General features: G+C 40.5%; 1 protein-coding gene across 7 annotated transcripts in view, besides 1 other annotated feature; it reads left to right on the top strand.

The window, feature by feature from the left end:
• Positions 1-27,026, top strand: part of GABRB3 (gamma-aminobutyric acid type A receptor subunit beta3) — a 230,212-nt gene that overhangs the window by 143,376 nt on the left and 59,810 nt on the right. For 4 of the 7 annotated variants that reach the window (NM_021912.5, NM_000814.6, NM_001278631.2 and 1 more), the window contains one exon: positions 8,854-9,074. In NM_021912.5, coding sequence (NP_068712.1) covers positions 8,854-9,074 — 221 coding nt within the window. Of the gene's footprint in view, positions 1-1,297; positions 1,412-4,853; positions 4,957-5,402; positions 5,624-5,756; positions 6,181-8,853; positions 9,075-14,327; positions 14,615-14,966; positions 15,092-27,026 lie in introns of those variants that run through there. The other 3 variants (NR_103801.2, NM_001191321.3, XM_011521428.4) reach the window with 3 other exon arrangements.
• Positions 14,166-15,365: an enhancer, noted in NCBI's record as "BRD4-independent group 4 enhancer chr15:26860170-26861369 (GRCh37/hg19 assembly coordinates)". NCBI's record gives its function as "activates an origin of replication core promoter dependent on BRD2, P300/CBP, MED14 and CDK7 cofactors, and independent of BRD4, by STARR-seq in HCT116 cells {active_cell/tissue: HCT116}" and the evidence as "EXISTENCE:reporter gene assay evidence [ECO:0000049][PMID:35650434]".

Raw genomic sequence — 27,026 nt, 5'->3', positions numbered from 1 at the left:
CTGGAGAATTCCCTTGTGTTTTCCTCCTCACTGCCTGAGCACTCTCCATTAAATCCCATATCCCAGGGCTGCAATGTCCACAGGAACCTGTCACGGTATAACCAGAGGTGCTGGCAGCTTTCCCTTCTGTGGACAGCTGTTTCAGGTACAGAGGGACTGGGTAGAGCAGGGGCCCAGAAGGTCTCTGCAGGTGCCCTGGGCTCCTGCCCACCCAGAGGAAAGAGCCTCACCTCCGGGAGCCTGGCCGAGGAATGCAGGAGTCCAAGGATAATTGCTCCACAAGGGCTTCCCCAGCGGCCTTCCCTGGTGAGGGTTTGGGGTTGAACCGCTGAGTAAATGGGGTGGCAGAGGTCGTGGAGGGTTGCGGGGTGCCAGGACCTCTCATTGCCTTTACCTACAGCCTTCTAAGTACTGTATCCATCCAGGGCCAGCCCCATCTCAGGATTGGCGCTGCACCTTAACCAGAAGCCAAACGTTCTCAGGGTGCCCAGGGCTATGGAGACACGTGCTAACAAAATACGTTCGAGTCAGTATTGGTGAACACACATTCAGTGTGTCAGTTAATTAATTTACAGGAGGGATATTTTATAAATGCTTGAATGGCTATAAATCTCAACTCCCACTAAGACTGTAGTTTTCTAAAGTCAGGTTACATCTAATTACAACCAGAAGGGGCTCGGTGAACTCAGAAGCTGCACCAGGGCTGAAGAGTTTGGTGATGTGAGAAGTGGAGTGTTACCACCTTCGGTTTGTGGGGCTCACCCACAGCCAAGGACGAGGACACTTCTGCATCCCCTGGACACGGGGCTGTGTCTCCGCAGCCCCACTGGAAGCTGCTATTTTTGCAAGCTCTGACCTCTCCACCAATACCCCCTCCTCCTCCTGCCAACACATTCGGTCTAGATGTGCTGATAAGGCTGGTTGTGCCACAGCCAAGAGCCAGTGCCAGGAGACAGCCTGTCTCTTCCCGGTGTGTGCTAATCTAATCAGGCCCACCCTCCCAGGGCGAGGTTCTCCACGCCGCACAGCGCCGCGCACAGGGAGGAGCTTGCCCGCCAGGCTCCTGAGCTGGGCCACGCCTTTTCCGCTACGGGCCACGCCCCTCGAGCCACAGACCACGCCTCCTCCCTCTCGGGGCCAAGCTTCCGCGCTGCCCTCCTTTCCAGGCCCCGCCCCTGATTGCCGCCGCTTCGCAAAGCCCTCCGTCTCCCGGGAGCTGCTTCTCCCCACACTCCGCCCCTGCGCCTCCCCGAGCTTCAGCCTCTCCTGTAAAGAGCAGAGATGGAGAGGAAGCGACAGTCACAACTTCCGGTTAGCGTGGCGGAGGCTCTCGGAGTCTTTGGGACCTCAGCACCGGGATACCGGGAGACTCCCTCGTGTCCCCATGTGGGCCACCTACCAGACAGAAGAGGTAAAAGTCGGGGACGCGGGCTCTCGGCAGTCACAAGGAGTGGAGGCGCTCTTGCACCTGACTCCCCCACACCTCCCAGCTCGGATTTCCAAGGCCTGAGAGCCTCCGTTTGAGGACTGCCGTTTCAGGCCTCTGCTGGCCCCCTTTCGTCTCTCTAGGGCTCCCTCAGCTACCCTGGGGGGGTCACCAACCTAGGTAGAATGTGAGGTCCACCCTGTGGAGCCATCTCCTCTGCCTAGCCCTGTGGCGCTGGTTGGTTTTTTGTTTTGTTTTGTTTTGTTTTTTTGTTTTTTTGTTTTTTTTGCGAAAATAGCTGTGTAGGGTCAGTTGATAACAGGAGCTGCTTCGACCAGATGTCCATACCCAAGACTGGCCCTCCAGGGGCAGCCGCCCTTCCCTTCACATAGCTGAATCTTTTACTTCTAGGTTTAGATCAGATGGTTGTTTTTCCAAGAATTCACCTGTAGTCATCCTTCCCAGAAGTGGCTTCTTTTTCTGATTGCCATATCCCTTCGTGTTTAGTATAGCACTTAACCTAGATTGCTTTTGAATTCTTGGAACCTGCAATTATTGTCTCTGCCACATGGGCAGCCCCTGAGGGCTCACAGTGCCTCAGGTTCATCTTCGCCTCCCCCAAGTTGCCTAGCAGGCGGTAAGCACTCAATAAACATTTGCTGAATAACTGAGTAAATACAGGCACACCCTCAGAGATACTGCAGGTTCTGTTCCAGACCATTGCTGTAAAGCAAATATCATGAAGTGAGTCACAAATTTTTTGGTTTCCCAAGATATATAAAAGTTATGTTTATACTACATTGTAGTCTATTAATTGTCCAATAACATTATGTCTATAAAATATACATACCTTAATTGAAAATACTGTATTGCTGAAAGTGCTAACAATCATCTGAGCCTTCAGTGAGTCATGATCTTTTTGCTGGTGGAGGGTCTTGCCTCAGTGTTGATGGCTGCTGGCTGATCAGGGTGGTGGTTGCTGAAAGCTGTGGCAGTTTAAGACAACAATGAAATTTATTACTTTGGCTATTCCTTTCATGAAAGATTTCTCTGTAGCATTGGATGCTGTTTGATAGCATTTTACCCAGAGTAGAACTTCTTCCAAAATTGAAGTCAGTCCTCTCAAACCCTGCCACTGCTTTATCAACTAAGTTTATGTAATCTTCTAAATCCTTTGTTGTCATTGCAACAATGTTCACAACATCCTCACCAGGAGTAGATTCCATCTCAAGAAACCACTCTTTGCTCATCCATAGGAAGCAACTCCTCATTCATTCAAGTTTAATCATGAGATTCCAGAAATTCAGGGAAATCTTCAAGTTTCACTTCTAGTTCTGTTGCTATTCCCACCACATCTGCAATGACTTGAACCCCTCAAAGTCATCCATGAGGGCTGGAATCCACATCTTCCAAACTCCTCTTGGTGTTGATATTTTGACCTCCTCCTATAAATCATGAATGTTCTTACTGACATCTAGAATGACATCTAGTCCTTTCCAGAATGTTTTCAGTTTACTTTGCCCAGATCCGTAAAAATAATCACTGTCTATGGCAGCTACAGCCTTGTGAAATGTATTTCTTAAATAATAAAACTTGAAAGTCAGTTTCTCCTTGATCTATGGGCTGTAGAATGGATGTTGTGTTAGCAGACATGAAAACAACATTCATCTCTTTGTACATATCCATTAGAGCTCTTGAGTGACCAGGTACATTGAAAATGAGCAGTAACATTTTGAAAGGAATGTTTTTTCTGAGCAGAAGGTCTCAACTGTGGGTTAAAAATATTCAGTTTTGTAAACGTGTTGACACCCAGGTTTTATTGTTGGATTTTTTGAGCATAGGCGGAGTAGATTAGCAGAATTCTTAAGGGCCCTGGGATTTTCAAAATGGTGGGTGAGCATTGGCTTCAACTTAAAGTCAGCAGCTGCAATTAGCCCCTAGCAAGAGAGTCAGCCTGTCATTTGAAGCTCCGAAGCCAGACAATGACTTCTTCTCTTTTGCTATGAAAGTCCGACATGGCCTCTTCTTCCATTAGAAAAGACTTCTTCCAAAGTCTACTCTGAAAACCTGTTGTTTAGTGTAACCACCTTCATCAGTGATTTTAGCGGGATCTTCTGGATAACTTGCTGCAGCTTCTCCATCAGCACTTGCTGCTTCACCTTGCACTTTTATGTTATGGAAATGGCTTCGTTGCTTAAACCTCATGAACCAATCTCTCCTATCTTCTAACTTTTCTTCTGCAGCTGCCCTAACTCTTTCAGCCTTCACAGAATTGAAGAGAGTCAGGATTTTACTCCAGATTAAACTTTGACTTAAGGGAACGTTATGGCTGGTTTGATATTCTATCAATATCAGCAGTAAGGCTGTTGGACTTTCTTATCATTCCCCAGAGTAGCACTTTTAATTTCCTACTAAAACTTTTTCTTTGCATTCACAATTGGGCTAACTGGTAGAAAAGGCCTAACTTTGGGCCTATAAAAATCTTTTGCACATCAATCATTTGACCTGCCTCCCTCACTAAGCTTAATCATTTCTGGTTTTTCATTTACCATGAGAGATGGGCGACTCTTCCTTTCACTTAAACCCTTAGAGGCCATTGGAGGGCTACTAACTGGCCTAATGTTGATATTGTTGTGTCTCAGGGAATAGGGAGGCCCAAGGAGAGGGAGAGATACAGGGTTAAGGGTCAGTTGGTAGATCAGTCAGAGGACACACAACATTTGTACGATAAGTTTGCCATCTTATATGGGTGCTATTCCTGGTGCCCCAGAGTGATAATAATAGTAATATCAAATATCACTGATTATAGGTCACCATAACCAATATAAAAGTAATGAAATACTAAGATTGAAATCTTGTGAAAATTACCAAAATATGACCCAGAGACATGAAGTGAGCATATGCTGTTGGAAAAACAGTGTTGTTCAACTTACATGCTCAACGCTGGGTTGCCACAAACCTTCAAATTGTTAAAAATGCAGTATCTGTGAAGCACAGTAAAGTAAGGCAGGCGTGTATCTAATGATACAGATAGTTTCTTGTGCAGCCTGGGGGTCTGGCAAAAGAGGGAACGTTAGCAACTCAATTGGTGGAGGACGCGGGCTGCTTCTGTAAACGATATCAACAGTCTGTCTCATTTGGTGTCTACTGCTACCTCCCCAGCCCCTTGTCAGCCAGCAGGAACCATAGCAACAGGGATCCACCCTGCCGCAGAGTGGCCAGCTTGGCTGTTCTTTGAGAAGCTCCACCCTTCCCAGTCATTTCTTATTTTTGTACCCAGACGTCACCTGAGTCCACCTCGAGCATTAAGGTTAAAGAACAAAGGCTTAATTTCCATTTCATGTTCTGTGAGGAATCCAGTGTCCCCTCTGCTATTCCTTTAATCCTTGGAGCTTTTAAAGTCTCAAAGTATCTTCTGTTTCTGCAGACAGGCTTGGAATTCAAAACTCTGACAGACTCTCCATCCCATGCAAATTCCATCTCTTTGTGACTGTGCTCTTCTCTTTGGTTCATGCCACATCATTGCAAAGGTAAAAATTGGTGACTTCCCTGGGATGTATGGGATGCATTGAAGAAAAGGATACTTTTACAAAGCTTCTTTCTATAGCAGCTGTGCTAAATGTTTGGCGATGGGTTGGGTGTGGAAGGAGGAGTTGGTGGTGCCGGGGTTCTGATTACTGCCCTGAAGAACCCCCCTGCATGACCTGACTCTCCATGCTCAGAGACATCCTTTCAAAGCCCCACCCTGCCAAGCTCACTCCACTTTATTGTGAGGAACTGTTTAGCTCCCATCCCTTGGAGCTTCCACATTGAGAGCCAGGCCCTGAAAGGAGGTGGCCCGAACTTCAAGTTCCACTATCCCGGGTTACTAGTGTTTGAGGGAGTGGAGGGAGTGGATGAGGAGCGAGTTACTTCAGCTCTTCAATTTTTGTTACTTCATCGATATAGGATAATAATTATAATACCTGCCTCCTAGTTAAATGAGGTTCTAGGTAGCACAGGGCGTGGAGTTTGCTGAAGGATCACTCACACAAGCGGCTGCCCGCTGTTCCTGGCTCAGTGCTCACCACTGCACGTCACAAGGAGCGGCACCATGGCTCCCGTAACAGGAAAACCCTGCATTTGCTACTCCCGGCTGCACGAGAGTGGAGGGAGGCTTGGACCTTTCCACCACCCCCTTCCCTTTGTTGCCAGCTAGTAAGTATCCCAGAAAAAAAGGAGGACACTGATTTGTGCCCCCACTGATGTGATAGTCCTTGCCATACATGGCTGATCACATGCAGCGGGTTTGGATTTTCATACTGTTTTTTCCCTCTTGCTGTTACCTAAGCTCTTACCCACTAGTCTACTCAAGTCACCTCAGCAGACACCCAAGACCCAAACTGAGAGGCGCTGCTGGTGGTGCGGAGAGCGACACAGTCCAAAATAAGACGCGGAGCCCGAGCTGTCAGGCTGTGAGTGACAGCCGGGCTCCTAGGGCTGACTGACAAGTTCTCTCCCTTCTTGTGGCAAGCCATGTGCGAGCCCATCCGGAGGGACTCTGAGAAGGGCGCTAGACATCGCGACTCAGGCGTAAGCATGCGGGGTTAGGAGTAAAGAAAGAAACAAGTGAAACTTCTATTTCAATACGAGTGTAACATGGAGGGTGATAGTAGAGAAACTCTGTGGTCGCCACCACTAACACATCCTCCTTTTGTTGTGAAACCACAACTTTGCACGCCTCAGTTCCAGCGCACCGCCCACACCAGCGAAAGGTAATGGTGATGAAGGGGCGGAATATGCCCTGTGAAGGTGCATTCTCATCCTGATGTTCTGCATCAGCCCAGTGTCCGAGAACCTTTCAGGCCTTTGCTTTACCCACCACTCAGCACTGTCCACTCCTCGGAGGCCTCTGCACACCATCCCTTCTACCCCTTGAACTCACCATTGCTACGCTAGTTTTCCTCACAGGCGGCTTTGTGTTTTAAACTGGAGGTTTTATTATTATTTAGGTCAGGCAAGGCCGACAGATCAGGACACAACTGCCATTGAGAGGAGAGTGTGTTCCTTCCAGTTCTGGAGCAGCAGGGAGCCACACCATGCCATGGGGGCTGCTCAGGGAGTGCCAGGGTGGGTCAGGCAGCAGAGGGAGGGGAAATGCCTTTATTGTGGTTGCTGGGAAGGAATGGGTGACACGGGGTGTGCAGGCTCAGAATTGGCTGGTTTAAATAATTTCAGGCCCTTGGGGCACAGGGGCTGTCTTTAGTTGTCCATTACCTGGACCTGGGGCAGTTTAAGCGGGTGATAGGGACCCCAGAATGTGCAAGCTCAGTAAAAGAGGTGATTGGAGTCTAAGCCGCTGAAATCTATGCTCTATGAATTTATGGCATAATAGGTATAAAAAATAAAAGACCTCTGGACTGTAAAAACAAACAAACAAACAAAAGAGATGGTTGGGGTGTGGGTTCTGGACTGGTTGGTTTGCATGTGAAAAGTACACTCCTAGGAGAGTTGCTAGCCGTCTCTCGGAATTAGCCAGCCCTGGAAGGGGCCCTCCCTCCAAGGTCCACAGGGTCGCAGATCAAAGCATCAGAACACAGAAATAAAAGGCACGGTTAATACTCCTGGTCATGGCTCTCTGCTCCATGGAAACTATCAGTGGCTTTCATTGGCTGCGAAGGTGGCATTCTAGTTTCCACCTTGTGGTCACTGCCCTGGGGTCTAGCCTGACTCATCGCTCTGCTCTCTTTTACCCATAAACCCAGCATTCCAGCAAAACTGCACTCCACAGGCTTTTCCATCAGACCCTTAAGAGCAACACTCCATGTGTTTTTCGATGTGCTGTACCTGCTGTCTACCTAGCCGAGGGTTATCTTTAGTGTCACCTGCTCTGCGAGAATCTTTAATTGGTGGTGGTGGTGAGGGCCCCCACAGGTTATTACTAGGCACAGAGCTGTGCCCACAAAAGTGTCTGGGAAAAAAAATGCCTGCTTCTTTTCATCTGCTTAAATGCTGCCTCTCCTTTAACTTGAAGACAAGGCCTCTCCAAAGACTGTCCAGCCCATTTGGACTTTCTTGCCTTTCCTTCCACTCTTAATTTTTATGGGACTCAAAGCTTAAAAACGTATTTTGTTTACAGTGATATAGTACAAGCTGGTTTTGTTTCCCCTTCTTGTGGCAAGCATCTGAAGACAAATCGATGTCCTCTATCAGTCCCTAAGCCTCTATATTCCAACACTATTGAGAGCAGCAATAAACAGCCATCAGTTTAGCAACACCGTGAATTGCCCTGCAAGAAGCAAAAAGAATACTGGAGGGGTTGTCAGGAGGCCTGTGTCGAGACTGGATTCTTCAACCGATTTGCTCTCCATCTCTCGCTGTCCACAAGTGAGGATGTTTGCAGACATGATCTTAAAGTGTGTGAACTCAGAAAGCTGCTTTTGCAGAATGGCAGCGATTTTTTCCCCTCCGTGGTTGGATAATTTACCTCCTAACCTTTGATGTTTTCAGCTTGTATCTTTCCACAGAAGGGTGCAAAATGTCCTGTGAATATCACTAGATTTTTAGACTTGGTCATTCTAGAACTGAGTAGTGATGATTGTCCCCAACAAAAAGAGAATTTCTTTTGTTCTGCCATGTCTAGCCTCTGATTTGTCTTTTTTCCCACTTTGTTCTCGATAAACTAACTGCTTTGGCAAAACGAAAGCAGAACCATCACGTGGATATTTGGTAATTTTGTGGGCAAGCCTGTGGACAACACCATGGCCCTGTCTGTCTCCCACCTCCCATATCCTGCTTGGACCTTAGGTTCCCATTTTCCTCAGGTGAATATGTCATCATCTCCGGGTGATTTTATGGTCCAGTTAATGTAGAAATGGCCACGGCAAGCTGGAGGAAAAAGGAAATACAATAGGTAGGGCATGGAGACCTCCCACAGTCCCTTGTGTCTCCAGAGGATGTTTATGGAAGGTTTGTATTTATAGCCCTCATGGAGGGCAGAACCAGAGGAAAGTGGCTCAAATTGCAGAGAGAGTTTGTAGATAGAGCTCATCTGTTGTAGGTTGTTAAAGCACCTGTCTGCCTGGTGGGAAAGAGAACATCCATGGGAACAATCTAGTTCCCCGCCAGCAACCTGATTTTACGATGACTTTTTCCCGTTTATTTCTATGCTGTTATCTGTTAAATGCCAGTTTGTCTAGTCTGCTTCTTAACCTAAGTAAAACAGAGGACATCTATACGTGACACACACAGACTCATGTACCTATTAAAACTGGTATTTGCATTCACAAGAAAGCAGCCATTGCTTCCCATTCTGCATAAAAATGGCATCCGTTTCTCCTGGTTATTCACTGTAGAGCCTAGATTGCAACCTGAATTTGGCTGGTCGTGGAGGAAATACACCTGTGGCTGGGTACAAACTAACTTTCTTTCTTTTCTTTTCCCCCCAGGATTATACCTTAACCATGTATTTTCAACAATATTGGAGAGATAAAAGGCTCGCCTATTCTGGGATCCCTCTCAACCTCACGCTTGACAATCGAGTGGCTGACCAGCTATGGGTGCCCGACACATATTTCTTAAATGACAAAAAGTCATTTGTGCATGGAGTGACAGTGAAAAACCGCATGATCCGTCTTCACCCTGATGGGACAGTGCTGTATGGGCTCAGGTCTGTGTGCCTCTTCAGGACCAATTTTGCTGTTGCATGGTGCATGGGTGTTGAATATCTCACTTGAGATGATTATTGTAAGTGAGGCAATGACCTCAGATAAATTAGGAAGCATCTATGAAGCACTAAAGCTTTGCAGAAAAAAAAATCTCATAACCATAAAATTTGGGGCATTACTGTTACTGTAAATAGTCACAAGCAGTTGAAAAACAGCCACCTTTGGATCAATTGTATATAATTGGATTGCCATGTCTAAGAACACAGATTCCCTCAGGATGGATTTTCCATATCATAGCCACAGAGGCCTGTAATTAATATCGCCCTGACACTGCAGTGGCTTCAGTGAAGTTTTTTTCAAAGCTGTCTGCACAGTTGAAAAAAAAATGTCTGTTGCGCAGATTGTAGGGTTTACTCTCTACGGAGCTTTATTGAGGTAGTGCCACGAATATTTATGGGAATGACTAAGTGAGAGATTTCCTGATGAGAAACATCTCTCTCCAGCTCTCATAATATAATCACTCAAATCAGGAAACCAGGCTGCCTTCCTGAGTCCCAGTGAGGAGGCCCTGGGCTTCCCTGGTTGCCCTGGAAACCGCCAGGCCTTTCCATAGAGCTCCATCCCAGCTGGTGGTCAATTATTTTGAATATCACCTTGCTAAATGGTGCTCTTAAAAACCTTCTGTCTCTTGCATAGATTTTTGCCTGATTTTTGGGTTGTTTTATTTAGAACAGTATTTTGTGTGTATGTGTGTCTGTTTCTTGCTCTCCTGGCCTAAAAGTGCCCTTGAGACCCTCTAGCAGTGGCTCTCAGTGTTGAGTGGGACACATGTGGATAGCTTAGAGAAAAGATGTATCTGAAAGTGTTGTGAGCCCAGAGGCTTTGAACTAAGACTTTAACAGCTATAAGCGAAATCATAACAGTATATATTTAAATCCACATCCCTGGGACTTTCATGCCTCAAGACGGGTAGAGTGAATGATTTAACATAGCCTCAAATAGAACATGTGAGTGACTTTCTCAGAACCGCAGTATAGAGAGCAGAATTTGGGATTTTAGCAAAATCAGATGTTTTTAGTGTTAAGTGGCACATGTCAACCAAGCCATCGTGTTCCTTCAAAAAGAGTCTATCCTGGAGTTTCTTTGGGAAGTTTTCAGCATTTTATGTTTTTGCCTGAAAATGAGACCTGTGGTTGTAAAGCTCCGGAGGTTCAGGTTCTGATAAGTGCATCAGCTATACAAAAGACTATTCAGAAGTCCTGGGAATGTAGAATGAGGAGCCATTTACCTGCCCCCACACCCAAAAAAACTAAAGTGAAAGAAGCTGATATGTGAGTTTGTGTCTGTGGGTGTGTGTTGAGTTTTGGGTGTGTGCGGTATGTGATGTGTGTGGTGTGTGTTGGGTTTGTGTGTGTGGTATGTGTTGTGTTGGTGTGCATTGTGGATGTGTGTGTGGTGTGTGTTTTGTGTGGTAATGTGTGTGTTGTAGGTGTGTGCACATGTGTGTGTGATGGGGAAGAGCAAAAAAGCAAATATCAACAAAAATTAATCTAGGAATTTTTGGCTTTTTAAACAAAACATGCTATTTCAGTTTTCTCCACTTTTATTTTTGCATTCTTTATTTTTTATTTATTTATTTTTATTATTATTATACTTTAAGTTTTAGGGTACATGTGCATAATGTGCAGGTTAGTTACATATGTATACATGTGCCATGCTAGTGCGCTGCACCCACTAACTCGTCATCTAGCATTAGGTATATATCCCAATGCTATCCCTCCCCCCTCCCCCCACCCCACAACAGTCCCCAGAGTGTGAAGTTCCCCTTCCTGTGTCCATGTGTTCTCATTGTTCAATTTCCACCTGTGAGTAAGAATATGCGGTGTTTGGTTTTTTGTTCTTGCAGTAGTTTACTGAGAATGATGATTTCCAATTTCATCCATGTCCCTACAAAGGACATGAACTCATCATTTTTTATGGCTGCATAGTATTCCATGGTGTATATGTGCCACATTTTCTTAATCCAGTCTATCATGGTTGGACATTTGGGTTGGTTCCAAGTCTTTGCTATTGTGAATAGTGCCACAATAAACATACGTGTGCATGTGTCTTTATAGCAGCATGATTTATAGTCCTTTGGGTATATATCCAGTAATGGGATGGCTGGGTCAAATGGTATTTCTAGTTCTAGATCCCTGAGGAATCTCCACAGTGACTTCCACAATGGTTGAACTAGTTTACAGTCCCACCAACAGTGTAAAAGTGTTCCTATTTCTCCACATCCTCTCCAGCACCTGTTGTTTCCTGACTTTTGAATGATTGCCATTCTAACTGGTGTGAGATGGTATCTCATTGTGGTTTTGATTTGCATTTCTCTGATGGCCAGTGATGGTGAGCATTTTTTCATGTGTTTTTTGGCTGCATAAATGTCTTCTTTTGAGAAGTGTCTGTTCATGTCCTTCGCCCACTTTTTGATGGGATTGTTTGTTTTTTTCTTGTAAATTTGTTTGAGTTCATTGTGGATTCTGGATATTAGCCCTTTGTCAGATGAGTAGGTTGCAAAAATTTTCTCCCATTTTGTAGGTTGCCTGTTCACTCTGATGGTAGTTTCTTTTGCTATGCAGAAGCTCTTTAGTTTAATTAGATCCCATTTGTCAATTTTGGCTGTTGTTGCCATTGTTTTTGGTGTTTTAGACATGAAGTCCTTGCCCATGCCTATGTCCTAAATGGTATTGCCTAGGTTTTCTTCTAGGGTTTTTATGGTTTTTAGGTCTAACGTTTAAGTCTTTAATCCATCTTGAATTGATTTTTGTATAAGGTGTAAGGAAGGGATCCAGTTTCAGCTTTCTACATATGGCTAGCCAGTTTTCCCAGCACCATTTATGAAATAGGGAATCCTTTCCCCATTGCTTGTTTTTCTCAGGTTTGTCAAAGATCAGATAGTTGTAGATATGTGGCGTTATTTCTGAGGGCTCTGTTCTGTTCCATTGATCTATATCTCTGTTTTGGTACCAGTACCATGCTGTTTTGGTTACTGTAGCCTTGTAGTATAGTTTGAAGTCAGGTAGCGTGATGCCTCCAGCTTTGTTCTTTTGGCTTAGGATTGACTTGGCGATGTGGGCTCTTTTTTGGTTCCGTATGAACTTTAAAGTAGTTTTTTCCAATTCTGTGAAGAAAGTCATTGGTAGCTTGATGGGGATGGCATTGAATCTATAAATTACCTTGGGCAGTATGGCCATTTTCATGATACTGATTCTTCCTGCCCATGAGCATGGAATGTTCTTCCATTTCTTTGTATCCTCTTTTATTTCATTGAGCAGTGGTTTGTAGTTCTCCTTGAAGAGGTCCTTCACATCCCTTGTAAGTTGGATTCCTAGGTGTTTTATTCTCTTTGAAGCAATTGTGAATGGGAGTTCACTCATGATTTGGCTCTCTGTTTGTCTGTTATTGGTGTATAAGAATGCTTGTGATTTTTGTACATTGATTTTGTATCCTGAGACTTTGCTGAAGTTGCTTATCAGCTTAAGGAGATTTTGGGCTGAGACAGTGGGGTTTTCTAGATATATAATCATGTCGTCTGCAAACAGGGACAATTTGACTTCCTCTTTTCCTAATTGAATACCCTTTATTTCCTTCTCCTGCCTAATTGCCCTGGCCAGAACTTCCAACACTATGTTGAATAGGAGTGGTGAGAGAGGGCATCCCTGTCTTGTGCCAGTTTTCAAAGGGAATGCTTCCAGTTTTTGCCCATTCAGTATGATATTGGCTGTGGGCTTGTGATAGATAGCTCTTATTATTTTGAGATACGTCCCATCAATACCTAATTTATTGAGAGTTTTTAGCATGAAGCATTGTTGAATTTTGTCAAAGGGCTTTTCTGCATCTATTGAGATAATCATGTGGTTTTTTTCTTTGGTTCTGTTTATATGCTGGATTACATTTATTGATTTGCATATATTGAACCAGCCTTGCATCCCAGGGATGAACCCCACTTTATCATGTTGGATAAGCTTTTTGATGGGCTGCTGGATTCGGATGATGGGCTGCTGGATTCGGATCCTGGTATCAGGATGATGCTGGTCTCATAAAATGAGTTAGGGAGGATTCCCTCTTTTTCTATTGATTGGAATAGTTTCAGAAGGAATGGTACCAGTTCCTCCTTGTACCTCTGGTAGAATTCGGCTGTGAATCCATCTGGTGCTGGACTCTTTTTGGTTGGTAAGCTATTGATTATTGCCACAATTTCAGCTCCTGTTATTGGTCTATTCAGAGATTCAACTTCTTCCTGGTTTAGTCTTGGGAGAGTGTATGTGTCGATGGATAAATTCCTCGACACATACACTTTTTGTTTTTTTTTTTAACAGAAGTAGAGTATGTCAGTCTGTCTCTGTATGTCTTTGTTAAAAGCAAAGAGCTTTAACTCTGTTAAAATAGAATTATGTAATACATAAAAAAGCTCTGTAATAAATTCCACAACTGTTTGAAAATGTTGGATTTTAGGTAAGAGTAAGATCAACCAAGAAAATAAAAATTGCTTGGTCTGTAACTTCATATGTAAATGTTAAATAATAATGTAATAATAAGCCTTTAGTAGTAAACTTTATATAATAACCTAAAAAAGCATTAGTCAAATTTATATCCATCATGCCTCTCAAACAGCCTCTTAAATCAATAAATGGATTTTTAAGTAAGTAGCTGGTTTTTTTTTTTTTCAAGTGTAGTATAGGTATACTCCTTAGCTCTTTATTTAGAGCATCAGATTTTTGAAACACTTCTTCAGAGTTATATGGACCTGGATAAGCTGTCATAAAGAAAACCTCCAAAGTGCAGACTGACCACCACATTCTTCATGTGTTTAGCAGCTAAACTTACATCATCTGCTCATTAGAAATTGGCTATTCTAGAAATTTCTGCCTTGATATTTAAAAAACATGTAGCTCTAGAGATTGATTTGAACTACTGGACAAAAGAGCAAATTAATAAGTCTCAACCCTGATCATTAAACTCATATACGCATATTCTTTGCTATCCTATATAAACTTCAGTACCATTTGTATATTTTACACGTGACTTTTGATAAAAACAAGGTGTGAGTGCTCACATGGCTCAGCCACCCTCCATCCTCTCCTTGGCCCCAAGGCCCACCTTCCCTCCCGTGTCTTTTTACTGTTGCACTGGCTGGATGGTGACATGGCAGGCCCGGAGTGGGCCAGTGTGTGTAACCCAACAATGCATTGCATCTTTTTGGTAAATAGGTACTATGGCCCTGGCCTGGAGGAGGTCTGGCACAGCTGAGAACACTGAAGTTAAATTCCCCATGGTGGAAGGTTTGCAGAGAGCTGGGGTTGTTCCTGCTGTTCCTGCTTGTAAAGTACTGCTGAGGAAGGTCCTGCCCAGCAGAGATTGCTTTCCTACTGATTATGTGCTTGAAATACTGGTTGGACTGGCTGTATCACTGAGACCTTCAGACTGAATTTCTCTCACCCCTGGACACTGAGATTGGCTCTCACCTTGTCTATCCAGCAGTAGCCTACACTGGTAGGTCAGTCGCCACTTAGCTCCTCTACGCTTCTTTTGTTATTCATGCCCAGCCATTATGGGAACAGCATCAGTGGGCTTTTGCTTTATCTAGGCTAGATGAAGACCTTTGGCTGTAGATGAGCTGTCCGTGACGTAGGTTTGTACGTCAACTCAGCCTTATTCTGGGAAATCATTAATCCTTAACTCTGATGACTGTGCAAAAGTAGTCACTGACCACTCACGCAGATGCTTGAGAGTGATCACATTCTTGTAGTGATAAAAGGTTGTTTTAAATCATGAGCCATTTTTCCCATGACTCTTGTAGCCCCTTGAGCTTGAAACTTGGGGTAACACTAGCTTGCTCTTCTTACCAGCTTGAGCTCAGCTGAATATGACGGTGAACTGAGATCCCTGCACCAGCTTGTCAGCATGTGATGGGAGAGAATGCTCTGGACAGGGTATGCATGCCATCCTAAAATAAAACATAAATCCTTGACAATTTCCTTTGGACAGTCAAACCATTTAAGGAACTAGGAAGATCTTGGCTGACTAAGAGACTAATGGTCCTTTGTCCTGTCCCAGTCACAGCTTTTCTGTTTTCTTTGATGCTGCACTGAAGTTTTCTTCTATTTGTAAAAAGGCAGAGTTATCATCCCTTTTCCTAACTTTCTTTTTCAGTCTCTTGGCCCTCGGATGTCATTGAATGTCTCACCTTGCATCATTAAGCATACTTTGTAATGTGGTCTTTTCTTCATGCCATACATGTTGTATCTTCTTATCATTTCTCTGATGCTATGAGTTGGCGAGGGGGGGGTTCACAAAATAGTATTCACTTTGCTCCAAAAAGCACCTGGGAATCTGAGGCTGAGTCATCAAAGCAACATCCATATTTTGCCTGAGAAGTGTATTGCAAAACCTGTTGGACAGTACATTATAAAGTTCCCACTTGTGGCTAAAAATTGCTTTAAGTTGGCAAAATTGCCATTTCTATACTTAAAGATTGAAAGCAATATTAAAATGAAGCCAGAACTTATATCAGAAGATTCAAATTAAATCATCGAATTCGTTTGACTAGCATCTTATTCTGAAACTGTTTTATATGGTGGTTCTGTTAAAATACTTTTCTCCTCAGAAAAGATATCAACTCACAGAGGTATTAGGTCTCGTGTGATTTTTATGCAGCCGTCCCTAACTCCCAAACCCTTGTTTTGTCACCATCTCCCAAATTATGCAACTAAAAAGCATATTGATAAATTTCTTACCAGATGGGATTATGCCAATTTACACTCCCACCAGCAATAAAGTATATATTAGCTTTAGGATTGTGATGCCTGCTTTGGAATTTATTATCACTCAGGCTACTGCAAGTAATCTATCCATTTTCTTCATCTCTCAAAGCTGGTGAAGATTGCCTGACTCACTTTAAATTCTGGCTTATACACTTCTCTGCTCCCCACCCCCAGCATGTTTTATCCTTCCCCTCCTTATAAGGACTCTTCTCACCTTCTCTGCAAACTCTCCCCTCACTTGGATTTAATGAGGTTACTTCAAACTTTAGTTGGAAACACAGAAACTTCATCTTTGCGTTACAAAGAGCCCACCTGAGCTATCTGTTGGCTCATTCTTTGCCTCCCCTATCAAAATGGGGAGCAGCTTGGCATCCTGACCATTTCCAAAATGAGCTTCACCTTGGCACCCTGTCACTACTGGAGGACTTGGCTCCTGCAGTCCTGACCTTGCCCTTTCTGCTACTTTCCTCCTCCCTCATCATGCTTCCAGTACACACACTTTCCTTCTGCTCTTCAGAAACATCAGGCATGCCCCTGTCCTAGGGCCTTTGCACATGCCCTTGCTGTATATGGCTGCACTGTGTCTAGATGGTTATGTGTTGAGCATCATTAGAAGGTAATTAGGTAACTAAGGATTGCTCAGCTGTCACACTGATAGGGAGAGCCCTTCTCTGATCATTCATTCACTTTCTATTACATTACCTTTCTGGGTTGTTATCATAGCACTTATCCAGAGCTGACATTATCTTGTCAGTTTATTGCATTTCTTACTTATTGACTCACTATTCCCATCCATGATGACGGGGAAGCCACTATGAGAATATAAACTCTTTGAGAAAAGAATGGTTTCTGTCTTGTTCATTATTCCATCCCCAAATTCTAGAGTAGTGCTTCATGGAAAAAAAAAAGTATGGCATGAGAGTTAACTTTGAATTCCATTTAGCCTTTCCATAGTACTTATATTTTCATATTTTCCATTTAGGTGTTCAATCCCTTGGAATTTATCTTGGTGTAGGATGTGATGTAGCTATCCACATTTTTGTTTCCTTCCTTCCTTCCTTCTTTCTTTTTCTTTCTTTCCTTCTTTCTTTCTTTTGAGATGGAGTCTCGCTCTGTTGCCCAGGCTGGAGTACAGTGGCGTGATCTCAGCTCACCACAACCTCCACCTCCCAGGTTCAAGCAATTCTCCTGCCTCAGCCTCCCGAGTAGCTGGGACTACAGGTGTGCACTACCATGTCTGACTAATTTTTGTATTTTTAGTAGAGATGGGGTTTCACTATGTTGACCAGGCTGCTCTCGAACTCCTGACCCCGTGATCTGCCCGCCTCAGCCTCCCAAAGTGCTGGGATTACAGGCATGAGCCACTGCACCCAGCCTGTTTGTTTCTTTTGAGACAGGGTCTTGCTCTGTTGCTCAGACTGGAGTACAGTGGCACAATCATGGTTCATTGTTACTTCCAACTCCCAGGCTCTAATGATCCTCCTGCCTCAGCCTCCTGAGTAGCTGTGACTGAAGGTGCAGGCCCCCACAACCAGCTATTTTTTTTGTGTGTGTGTGTGAAGATGGGGTTTTATTATGTTGCCCAGACTGGTCTCAAACTTCTAGCTTCAAGCAGTCCTCCAGCCTTGGACTCCCAAAATGCTGGGATTATAGGCATGAGCCACCATGCCATGTCCAATTTTTTGTTCTTACATGCTTAGCTATTTGTCCTAATAGTTACCAGTTTATTCTTCCACATTAACTTTAGAATCATTTATTTTATCAAATTCCTAAAAGTATAGCTTGTGTTGTTTGTTGAAATTATGCACATGTAGCACTACTTTGGCAAGAGCAAAAGATATACTATATTCAATGTTTCTTGCGTGAACATGGCATGTCCTCATTCATGTCTTTGTTTATGGCTTTTAGTAAAGTTTTGTCATTTACTCCACTGACTGCTAAACTTTCCATTTTTAACTTAACATTTCTTGCTAAACTTACTCCACTTTTTGAAAGTGTGATGCTCTTAGAAGTGGAATCATTGCTCCATTATTTTTCTAGCTGGCTTTCCCCGGTATGTGGGAAGGCTCATGGTCAATTTGTATATAACTACCTTTAAGTATGCATCTATCAAAAATTATATCTAGTCAGTCTGATGTTTCATTATTTTCAACAGTTTAGTTAATCCTGATTATTTTAGTCTTACAATCATATTGCTTATAATGATGATTTTTAATCTTCATTTTCAATTGTTTTTATTCTTATTTCTGTTTTATTGTATTTCCACCTTCCAGAACAATGATAACCAGTGATAACAGTGTTAATATCAGCACATTTTTCATTGCAATGGGTGCTTCTTGTGGCCCACCATGAAGGATGAGCTGCACTTTTAGTTTAATGTAACTATTTCTTATTCTTTTACTTCCATTGTTTTTTGTTCCTGATATATAAATTAGTATCTTTAAGTCCACCAACACCACTATGCATTTTGTGCAATTTAGAAATTACTTCAGGCATGTGACTAGTAAGCATGTTAGTGCTAATACTATCTATGCAGAGGAGCAAGTACAGTGTGAAATAAAGGAATGCGAACATTTATGTGAAATGTGTATTCATGCTAAATCTGTCTTTAGGCTTAACTCTATTAAAAAGGAATTGTCAAACTGCCAATGTGTTTCATTACAATATTTCTTATTTACTTTCATCAACGCTAAGAGCTTTAACTATGACCAATGTTAATTTAACCAACTTCTCCAATTTTCTATCTCATTTTAAAACAATTATTATCTAAACTTTTTCAACTTTCTAGTTCCTCTGCATGTGCATGAAGATAGACGTACAGAGAAACAAACAAAAAAAATTACATATGCCTTACACAGACATGCTTGGACTTTCTGTTTTTTCATACATTTTCTGTTTTTTAAGTAACCAGTCATTTTACTTTAGGACAAAAATTTAGCATAGGCCATAATTTGAAACAACTTTGAGATCAAATCTGAATTAGACAAAAGTTATTCTTTTATTCAATAAGTACACATCTTCTTTGGCGTATTTTATATACAAAATTATTCACTGCAGTTCTTATTCTTAATAATATTAAATTTTGTGAAAACCTAAGAAGCAAGAAATCCTGAACTGCCTATCAAATGTTAGCATTTTATATATGAGAACCATTCTATAATTTATAGAAATGTTTCCTCATAATTTTTATTTGACTAGAAATGACCCAGACATCCAATGAACATGAAAAGAATTTTAAGGTTTTAAATTACACAAAAAGTTCACCTACAAGGATTTATTCTATTTACATTTACTCAAGCCTTTCATTTTTTAAAGAGTTTATCTAGATTAATTCTGAGAACTGAGATATTATACAAAACTAGTTATCATTTCCAGTTACTTCCTTGTTCGCCATTTTTTAAAATAGTCTGTGAATATCAGGTGTTCACCTATGTAAGAACCTTAAGGTTAAATACATGGGTATTTTTGCCAATAACTCAGAAGATTCGGCTGTTTTCATTAAATCAACAAGCCTAAATTAGTCATTTCTCAAACAATGTCACATAAACAAAGATCATTTTGTTTTGGCTGAGTTATGATTTTATAACCTGTGCTAAATCCTGACACCTCAAAATATCTAGCAGAGACAAATATAAAACCCAGACAAAAATGTATGCTGACAATTCTGAAGACATTGCTATTTTCATCTTTTACTTTGGAACTCTAGCAATGAGATAGCAATACAAACCCACGAATTTACGAACAGGTTTACATGCTTAAAATTTGTTCTGATAGGTAATCCAGTGAACGCTGTGAACCACAGTTTTAGGTAAAGCAGTTTCCAGTTAGGCTCCAGAGATCACTGGGGCCAAACAGCACTACAGAAGATCATCACATAACTCCATCCCACTTTCCCATTTAACAGCAAAATGAGGTCCATAGAGAGCCCAAACTTCTCCAGATTCTAAAGAATACTGGGGTCAAACAGTATTATAAAAGAATATCAGCTTATCAAATTCTGATTTCCCATTACTATGTTGATACATACACAATCAACCACCAAAGCACAATCCACCTGCTGCAACAACCAACACATTTATGATCACGGAACCAAAATCTGTTACTGAAATACCAGGGGTTTGGTCTAGGTCTGGCTACAAGCCACACAGAAAGCCAGTCACTGAGATGAGTGTTGGCAAGGAAGAAGGCTTTCTCCGGGTGCTTCAGCTGAGGACATGGGAGATCAGTCTCAAATCCATCCCTTCAACCAACAAAAATTAGGGGTTTATATGCAGTTTTTGCTGTTACTTTTAATGGCAAAAACCACAATTACTTTTGCACCAACCTAATATATTAGCAGGGAAAAAAAATCTATATATGGGAAAACAGTAATTAGGGAGGGATAAGGAAGAGGAATTGGTCAACAGGAAGCAGATCACGCAATCATGATGTGTGAAGGGTCTGGCCTCTCATTGTCCAGATGTGGTGAGCCAGTATGTTTCAGTTCCTTGATACCGTCTGCAGGACCTGATGGTTGGTTTCCAGAGAAAAGAACTCAAGTAAGACAAATGTAAGTTTTTCGAGTTTGAAGATGGGGAGGGTCAATTTCTATGGTTACTCAAAAGAAACTGTCAACAACAGTTCTATGGGACAATTGGGTCAGTTTCAGAATAATTAAATCAAGTGAGTTAACGTATTTATCTAGCTAGCTAGTATTTGAACTAAACTTTTTTTATGGTAAGCACATTTCAAATTTATTCTCTCAGCAACTTTGAAATGTATAAAACTCTATTATTAACTATATTCACCATGCTCTTCAATAGAACTTAAAAATAACATATTCTTCCTGCCTAACAGATTTTTTAAAAATAATATGGGAAGTCCTTTATTTTATTATGTGACACTATATAGCAGCTGCCTAACCACACAATGTAGACATGAATAGGGAAGATGGCTGAGAAATAGCAGTACTAGTGACTCAAGTAGTTAGCTTTATACAATAAAAGGAATGAGTTTTGACTGACTTATGAGAGTTTTAAAATGCGTTTTATATCGAGTAGATTTGTTTCATGTTTTCTTAAAAGAATTATTGTATTCAACCAAAAATAAACTAGATATAGTTTGTTCACATAATGAATCTACGTTCGAAGATATGCTTACAGATTACCATTTGATAATCATTGCCCCATTCCCCCCATCCTCCATTCTCTGTAACCACTGTTCTGTTCTCTGCTTATATGAGTTCAACTGTAGATCCCACAAACAAGTGAGAATATGTGGTATTTCTTTCTGTGACTGGCGTAATTCACTTAGTATAATGTTCTCCAATTCCATCAGTGTTGTCCCAACTGACAAAATTTTTTTCTTTATTAATACTGAGTAGCATTCCATTGTGTGTGTGTGTGTGTGTGTGTGTGTGTGTGTATGTGTGTGTGTGTGTGTGTATCATTAAAAAAATCAATTTATCTGTTGATGGACACTTAGGTTGATTCCATAACATGGCTACTGTTAATAGTGCTTCAGTGAACTTGGGAGTGCTAACATCCCTTCAGCAAATTTATTTCAAATCTTTTGGGTAAATACCCAACAGTGGGATTGCTGTAGCATATGGTAATTCTATTTTAAGTTTTTTGAGTTTTCCATAATGTTTTCCATAATGACTGCACTAATTTGCATTCCTACCAACAGTGTACAAGGGTTCCCTATTTTCCACATCCTTGCCAACACTTATCTTTCATCTTTTTGATACTAGTCATTCTGACAGGTATTAGATGTTATCTCATTGTAGTTTCAATTTGTGTTTCCCTAATGATTAGTGATGTTGAACTTCTTTTCATATGTCTTGTTGGCCATTTGCATGTCTTCTTTTGAGAAATGTCTCTTTAGGTTCCTTCTCCATTTTTTAAATTGAGCTTTTTTTTGTTTTCTTGCTGTTGAGTTGTTTGACTTCCTTAAATATTTTGGATATTAACCCCTTAATGGATGGATTGCTTGCACATATGTCTTCCAGTCTGTTGGTTGTCTTTGTATAGTATTCATTGTTTTTGGTGCAGAAGCTTTTTAGTTTGATGTAGTCTCATTTGTCCTATTTTTGCATTTGTTGCATCAAATCAAATTTTAAAAATCATTACCCAGCATAATGTCATGTAGTTTTCCCCCTATGTTTTCTTTTAGTAATTTAACAGTTGCTAGTTACATTTAAGTTTTAATCAATTTTGAGTTGATTTCTGTATATGGTGTGAGATAAGGGTCCAATTTCATTCTTCTGAATATGGATATTTAGTTTTCCCAACAGCATTTATGGAAGAGATTATTCTTTTCCCATTGCATATTCTTGGCAAAAATCATATTGAAAGTACATGAATGGGTTTATTCTGGGCTCTCTAGTCTATTTCATTGGCGGATGTGCCTTTTTTTTTTTTTTTGCCAGTACCATGCTGTTTTAATTACTATAGCTTTGTAGTATAGTTTGAAATAAGGTAGTGTGATACCTCCAGCTTTGCTCCTTTTGCTATGATTGCTTTAGCTATTTTGGGTTTTTTGTTTTGGTTCCATATGAATTTTATAATTTTTGTTTCTATGGAAAACTACATCAGAATTTTGATAGGGATTACAATGAATCTATAGATCATTTTGAGTAATGTGGACATTTTAATAATAGTAATCCTTCTAATACAGATATATTTCATTTGTATCTTTTTTTATTTATTTTTGTGAATGTTATAGTTTGCAGTGTACAGGTCTTTCATTTCCTTGGTTAAATTTATTCCTAAGTATTTTATTTTATTTTATTTGAAACTATTGTAAATGGGATTGTTCCCTTGATTATTTTTTTCAGATAGTTTAGTGTTAATTTATAGAAACACTACTATTAATGTTTTTTGTAAGTTGTTTTTATATCCCGTAACTTAACTGTTTTGTTTTGTTTTGTTTTGTTTGTTTGGTGAGTTTTTTTTTAGACAGGGTCTCCCTTTGTCACCTAGGCTGGAATGCAGTGGGGCAATTATAGTTCACTGTAACCTCAAACTCCTGGGCACACAGGATCTGCCCACCTCAGGCTCCATAGTAGCTGTCACTAAAGGTGTGTGCCACCACACCTGGCTAACTTAAAAAGACTTTTTGTAGAGATGGGCCTTGTTATGTTGCTCAGGTTACTCTAGAATTTCTGGTCTTTAACAATCCTCTTGCCACATTGATTTTACTTTTAAATTAGTTATATCAGTTCTTTGGTGGAGTCTGTAGATATACATAGATAAAAGTAAAACTTAAGCCGAATTAAATGTAAGAGAGTTTAATTGAGCAATGAACAATTTGTGAATCAGGCAGCCCCTAGAATCATAGTAGATTCACAGAGACTCCAGGGGTGCCTCATGGTCAGAACAAATTTATAGACAAAAAAGGTAAAGTGAGGTACGGGAATCAGAAGTGAGGTACAGAAACAGCGAGATTGGTTACAGCTCGGCGTTTGCCTTTTTTGAATGCAGTTTGAACATTCAGTAGTCTTTGAGTGGTTGAAGTATGGCCGTGGGGATTGGCCAACACTCAGCCATTGTTAGAGGTGCATACTATTAAGTTAGGTTTTCAATTTTGTGTGACTATTAAGCTAGGTTACAGTTCATCCAGAAGGACTCAAATATAGAAGTGTAGAGTCCTTCTCAGGCCATATTTAGTTTGCTTTAACCATATCTATCTATCTATCTATCTATCTATCTATCTATCTATAGATATATCTATCTATAGATATATCTATCTATCTATAGATAGACAGATATGTATGATATATATGACAGATATATATGATTGCGTTGACAATTTACTTCTTACTTGTTCTTTTCTGATTTGCATGCCTTTTCTTTCTTTCTTTTGCCTAATTGCTCTAGCAAGGACTTCTATTATTGTGTTGAATTAAAGTGGTAAAAGTAGGCATAGCTTTCTTGCTCAATATCTTAGAGAAAAGGTTTCAACATTTTACCATTGAGTATAATGTTAACTATGGGCTTATCATATATAGCTTTATTGTGTTGGAGTATATTTCTTCTATTCCTAATATGTTGAGAATATTTTTTCAATTTTTTCAATTTTTAATTTTTGTGGGTACATAGTAGATGTCTATATTCATGGGATACATGAGATATTTTGGTCCCGGCATGCAGTACATAATAATCACATCATGGAATATTGGGTATGCATTCCCCTAAGCATTTACTCTTTGTGTTACAAACAATCCAATAATACTCTTTTAGTCATGTTTAAATGTACAATTCAATTATCCTTGACTATAGTCCCCCTGTTGTGCTATCAAATATTGTCTTATTCTATTTTTTTGTACCCATTAACCATCCCCACCTAATATGGTTTTGATCTGTGCCCCTGTCCACATCTCATGTTGAATTGTAATCTCCAGTGTTGGAGGAGGGGCCTGGTGGGAGGTGATTGGATTGCTGGGCTGATTTCCCCCTTGCTGTTCTCGTGATAGTGAGTTCTCAAGAGACCTGGTTGTTTAAAAGTGTGTGGGACCTTCCCATTTGCTCTCTCTTCCCCATGTTCTGACCATGTAAGACGTGCCTCCTTCGTATTCGACTTCCGCTGTGTTGTATGTTTCCTGAGACCTCCCTAGCAATATTTCCTGTACAGCCTGTGGAGCTGTGTGCCAATTAAACCTCTTTTCTTTATAAATTACCCAGTCTCAGGTAGTTCTTTATAACAATGCAAGAACTGACTAATACACCACCTGTTCTCTGTCTCCCTGTACCCCCACTACACTTACCATCCTTCTAGTCTCTATCTCCGTGAGTTCAATTGTTTTGATATTTAGATCTCACAAATAAGTGAGAACATGTGATGTTTGTCTTTCTATGCCTGGCTTATTTCAATTAACATGATGACCTCCAGTTTTATCCATGTTGTTGCAAATGACAGAATCTCATTCATTTTTATGACTTGGACTTATACACAAGTACTCCATTGTGTGTAAGTACAACATTTTCTTTATCCATTCATCTGTTGATGAAAACTTAGGTTGCCTCCAAATCTTGGCTGTTGTGAACTGGGTTTCAACAAACATGGAAATGCAGATAATTCTTCAATATACTGATTTTTCACCTGTTGGGTGTATACCGAGCAGTGGGATTCCTGGATCATATAGTAGATCTATTTTTAGTTTTTTGAGGCACCTCCAAATTTTTCTGCATGGTGGTTGTACTAACATACATCCCCACCAATAGTATTCGAGGTTCCCTTTTCTCTACATCCTTGCCAGCAGTTGTTATTGAATGACTTTTGGATAAAAGTTATTTTAACTGGGGTGAGATGGTATCTCATTGTAGTTTTGATTTGCATTTCTCTGATGATCAGTGATGTTGAGATTCCTTTTGTATACCTGTTTGCCATTTGAATGTCTTCTTTTGAGAAATGTCTATTCAACTCTTAGTCATGTTTTAATTAATGACACTTTGTTCTATAGAGTTGTTTGAGCACCTTATACATGCTGGCTATTATTCTCTTATCAAATGGGTAGTTTGCAAATATTTTCTCCTGTTTTGTGGCTTATTCTGTTACTTTGTTGATTGTTTCCTTTGCTGTGCAGAAGCTTTTTAACTTGATGTGATCCCATTTGTCCCTTTTTGCTTTGTTTACCTGGCTTGTGGGGTGTCACTCAATATTTTCTTTTTCCCAGACCAATGTCCTGGAGAGTTTCTCCAGTGTTGTCCTTTAGCAGTTTCATAGTATCAGGTCTTGTATTTAAGTGTTTAATCCATTTTGATTTGATTTTTATATAAGGTGCGAGATAGGGGTCAAGTTTCGTTCTTCTGCATCCGGTTATCCAGTTTTCCCAGGACCATACATTGAAGAGACTGCCTCTTTTCCAGTGTATATCATGGCAGCTTTGTCAAAAATGAGTTTACTGTAGATGTATAGATTTATTTCTGGGTTCTGTATTCTATTCTGTTGGTCTGTATGTCTGTTTTTATGCCAGTACTATTCTGTTTTGATTACTCTAGCTCTATATTATAATTTAAAGTCAGGTAATATGATTTCTCCAATTTTGTTCCTTTTGCTTAGGATAGCGTGGGCTATTCTGAGCTTCTTATGATTCCATATAAATTTTAGGATTGTTTTTTCTATTTCTGTGAAGAATGTCATTGGTATTTCAATAGAGATTACATTGAATCTGTAGATTGCTTTGGGTAATATGGACATTTTAACAATAATGATTCTTCCAATCCATGAACATGGAATACCTTTTCATTGTTTTGTGTCCTCTTCAATTTATTTTATCAATGTTTTATAATTTTCATTGCAGAGATCTTTCATTTCTTTGATTAAGGTAATTCATAGGTATTTAATTTTATTTGTGGCTATTGTTAATGGGATTTTTTAAATTTCTTTTTTAGATTGTTCACTGTTGCCATATAGAAGTGCTACTTGTTTAGTATGTTGATTTTGTATCCTGCAACTTTACTGAATTTAGCAGTAAACAAATAGTTTTTTCATGGAGTCTCAAGGTTTTCCAATTATAAGATTATACCATCTGCAAACAAGGATAATTTGACTTCTTCCTTTCTAATTTGGATGTCTTTTATTTTTCTCTTGTTTGATTTCTGTAGCTAGGACTTACAGTACTATGTTGAACACCAGTGGTGAAAGTGAGATTCCTTATCATGTTCCAGATCTAAGAGGTGAGGCTTTCAGTTTTTCCCCATTCAGTATGATACTAACTTAGGGCTTGATATATCAGGCTTTTCTTATGTTCAGGTATGTTCCTTCTATCTTAGTTTTTTTAGTGCTTTTTTATCATGAAGGGATGTTGAATTTTATGCAATGATTTTTTAGCATCAGTGGAAATGATGATATAGTTTTTGTCCTTCATTCTGTTGACACAGTGTGTCACATTGATTAATTTGCATATGTTGAACCATCCTTGCATCTCTGGAATAAATACCATTTGGTCTTGATAAATGATTGTTTTAACATATTCTTGAATTTCGTTTCCTAGTATTTTGTTGAATATTTTTGCATCAATATTCATTAGAAATATTGGCCTTTAGTTATTTTTTGTTTGTTTTATTTTTTGTTTTTGTATATATTTTTCTGGTTTTGGTATCAGGGTGATACTGGCTTCAGAGAATGAGTTTGGAAGTATTTCCTTCTTTATTTTTTGGAACA

The sequence above is a fragment of the Homo sapiens genome, chromosome 15 (genome assembly GCF_000001405.40).
Source record: "Homo sapiens chromosome 15, GRCh38.p14 Primary Assembly".
NCBI lineage: Eukaryota > Metazoa > Chordata > Mammalia > Primates > Hominidae > Homo > Homo sapiens.
This window is presented reverse-complemented; position numbering and strand designations above follow the sequence as displayed.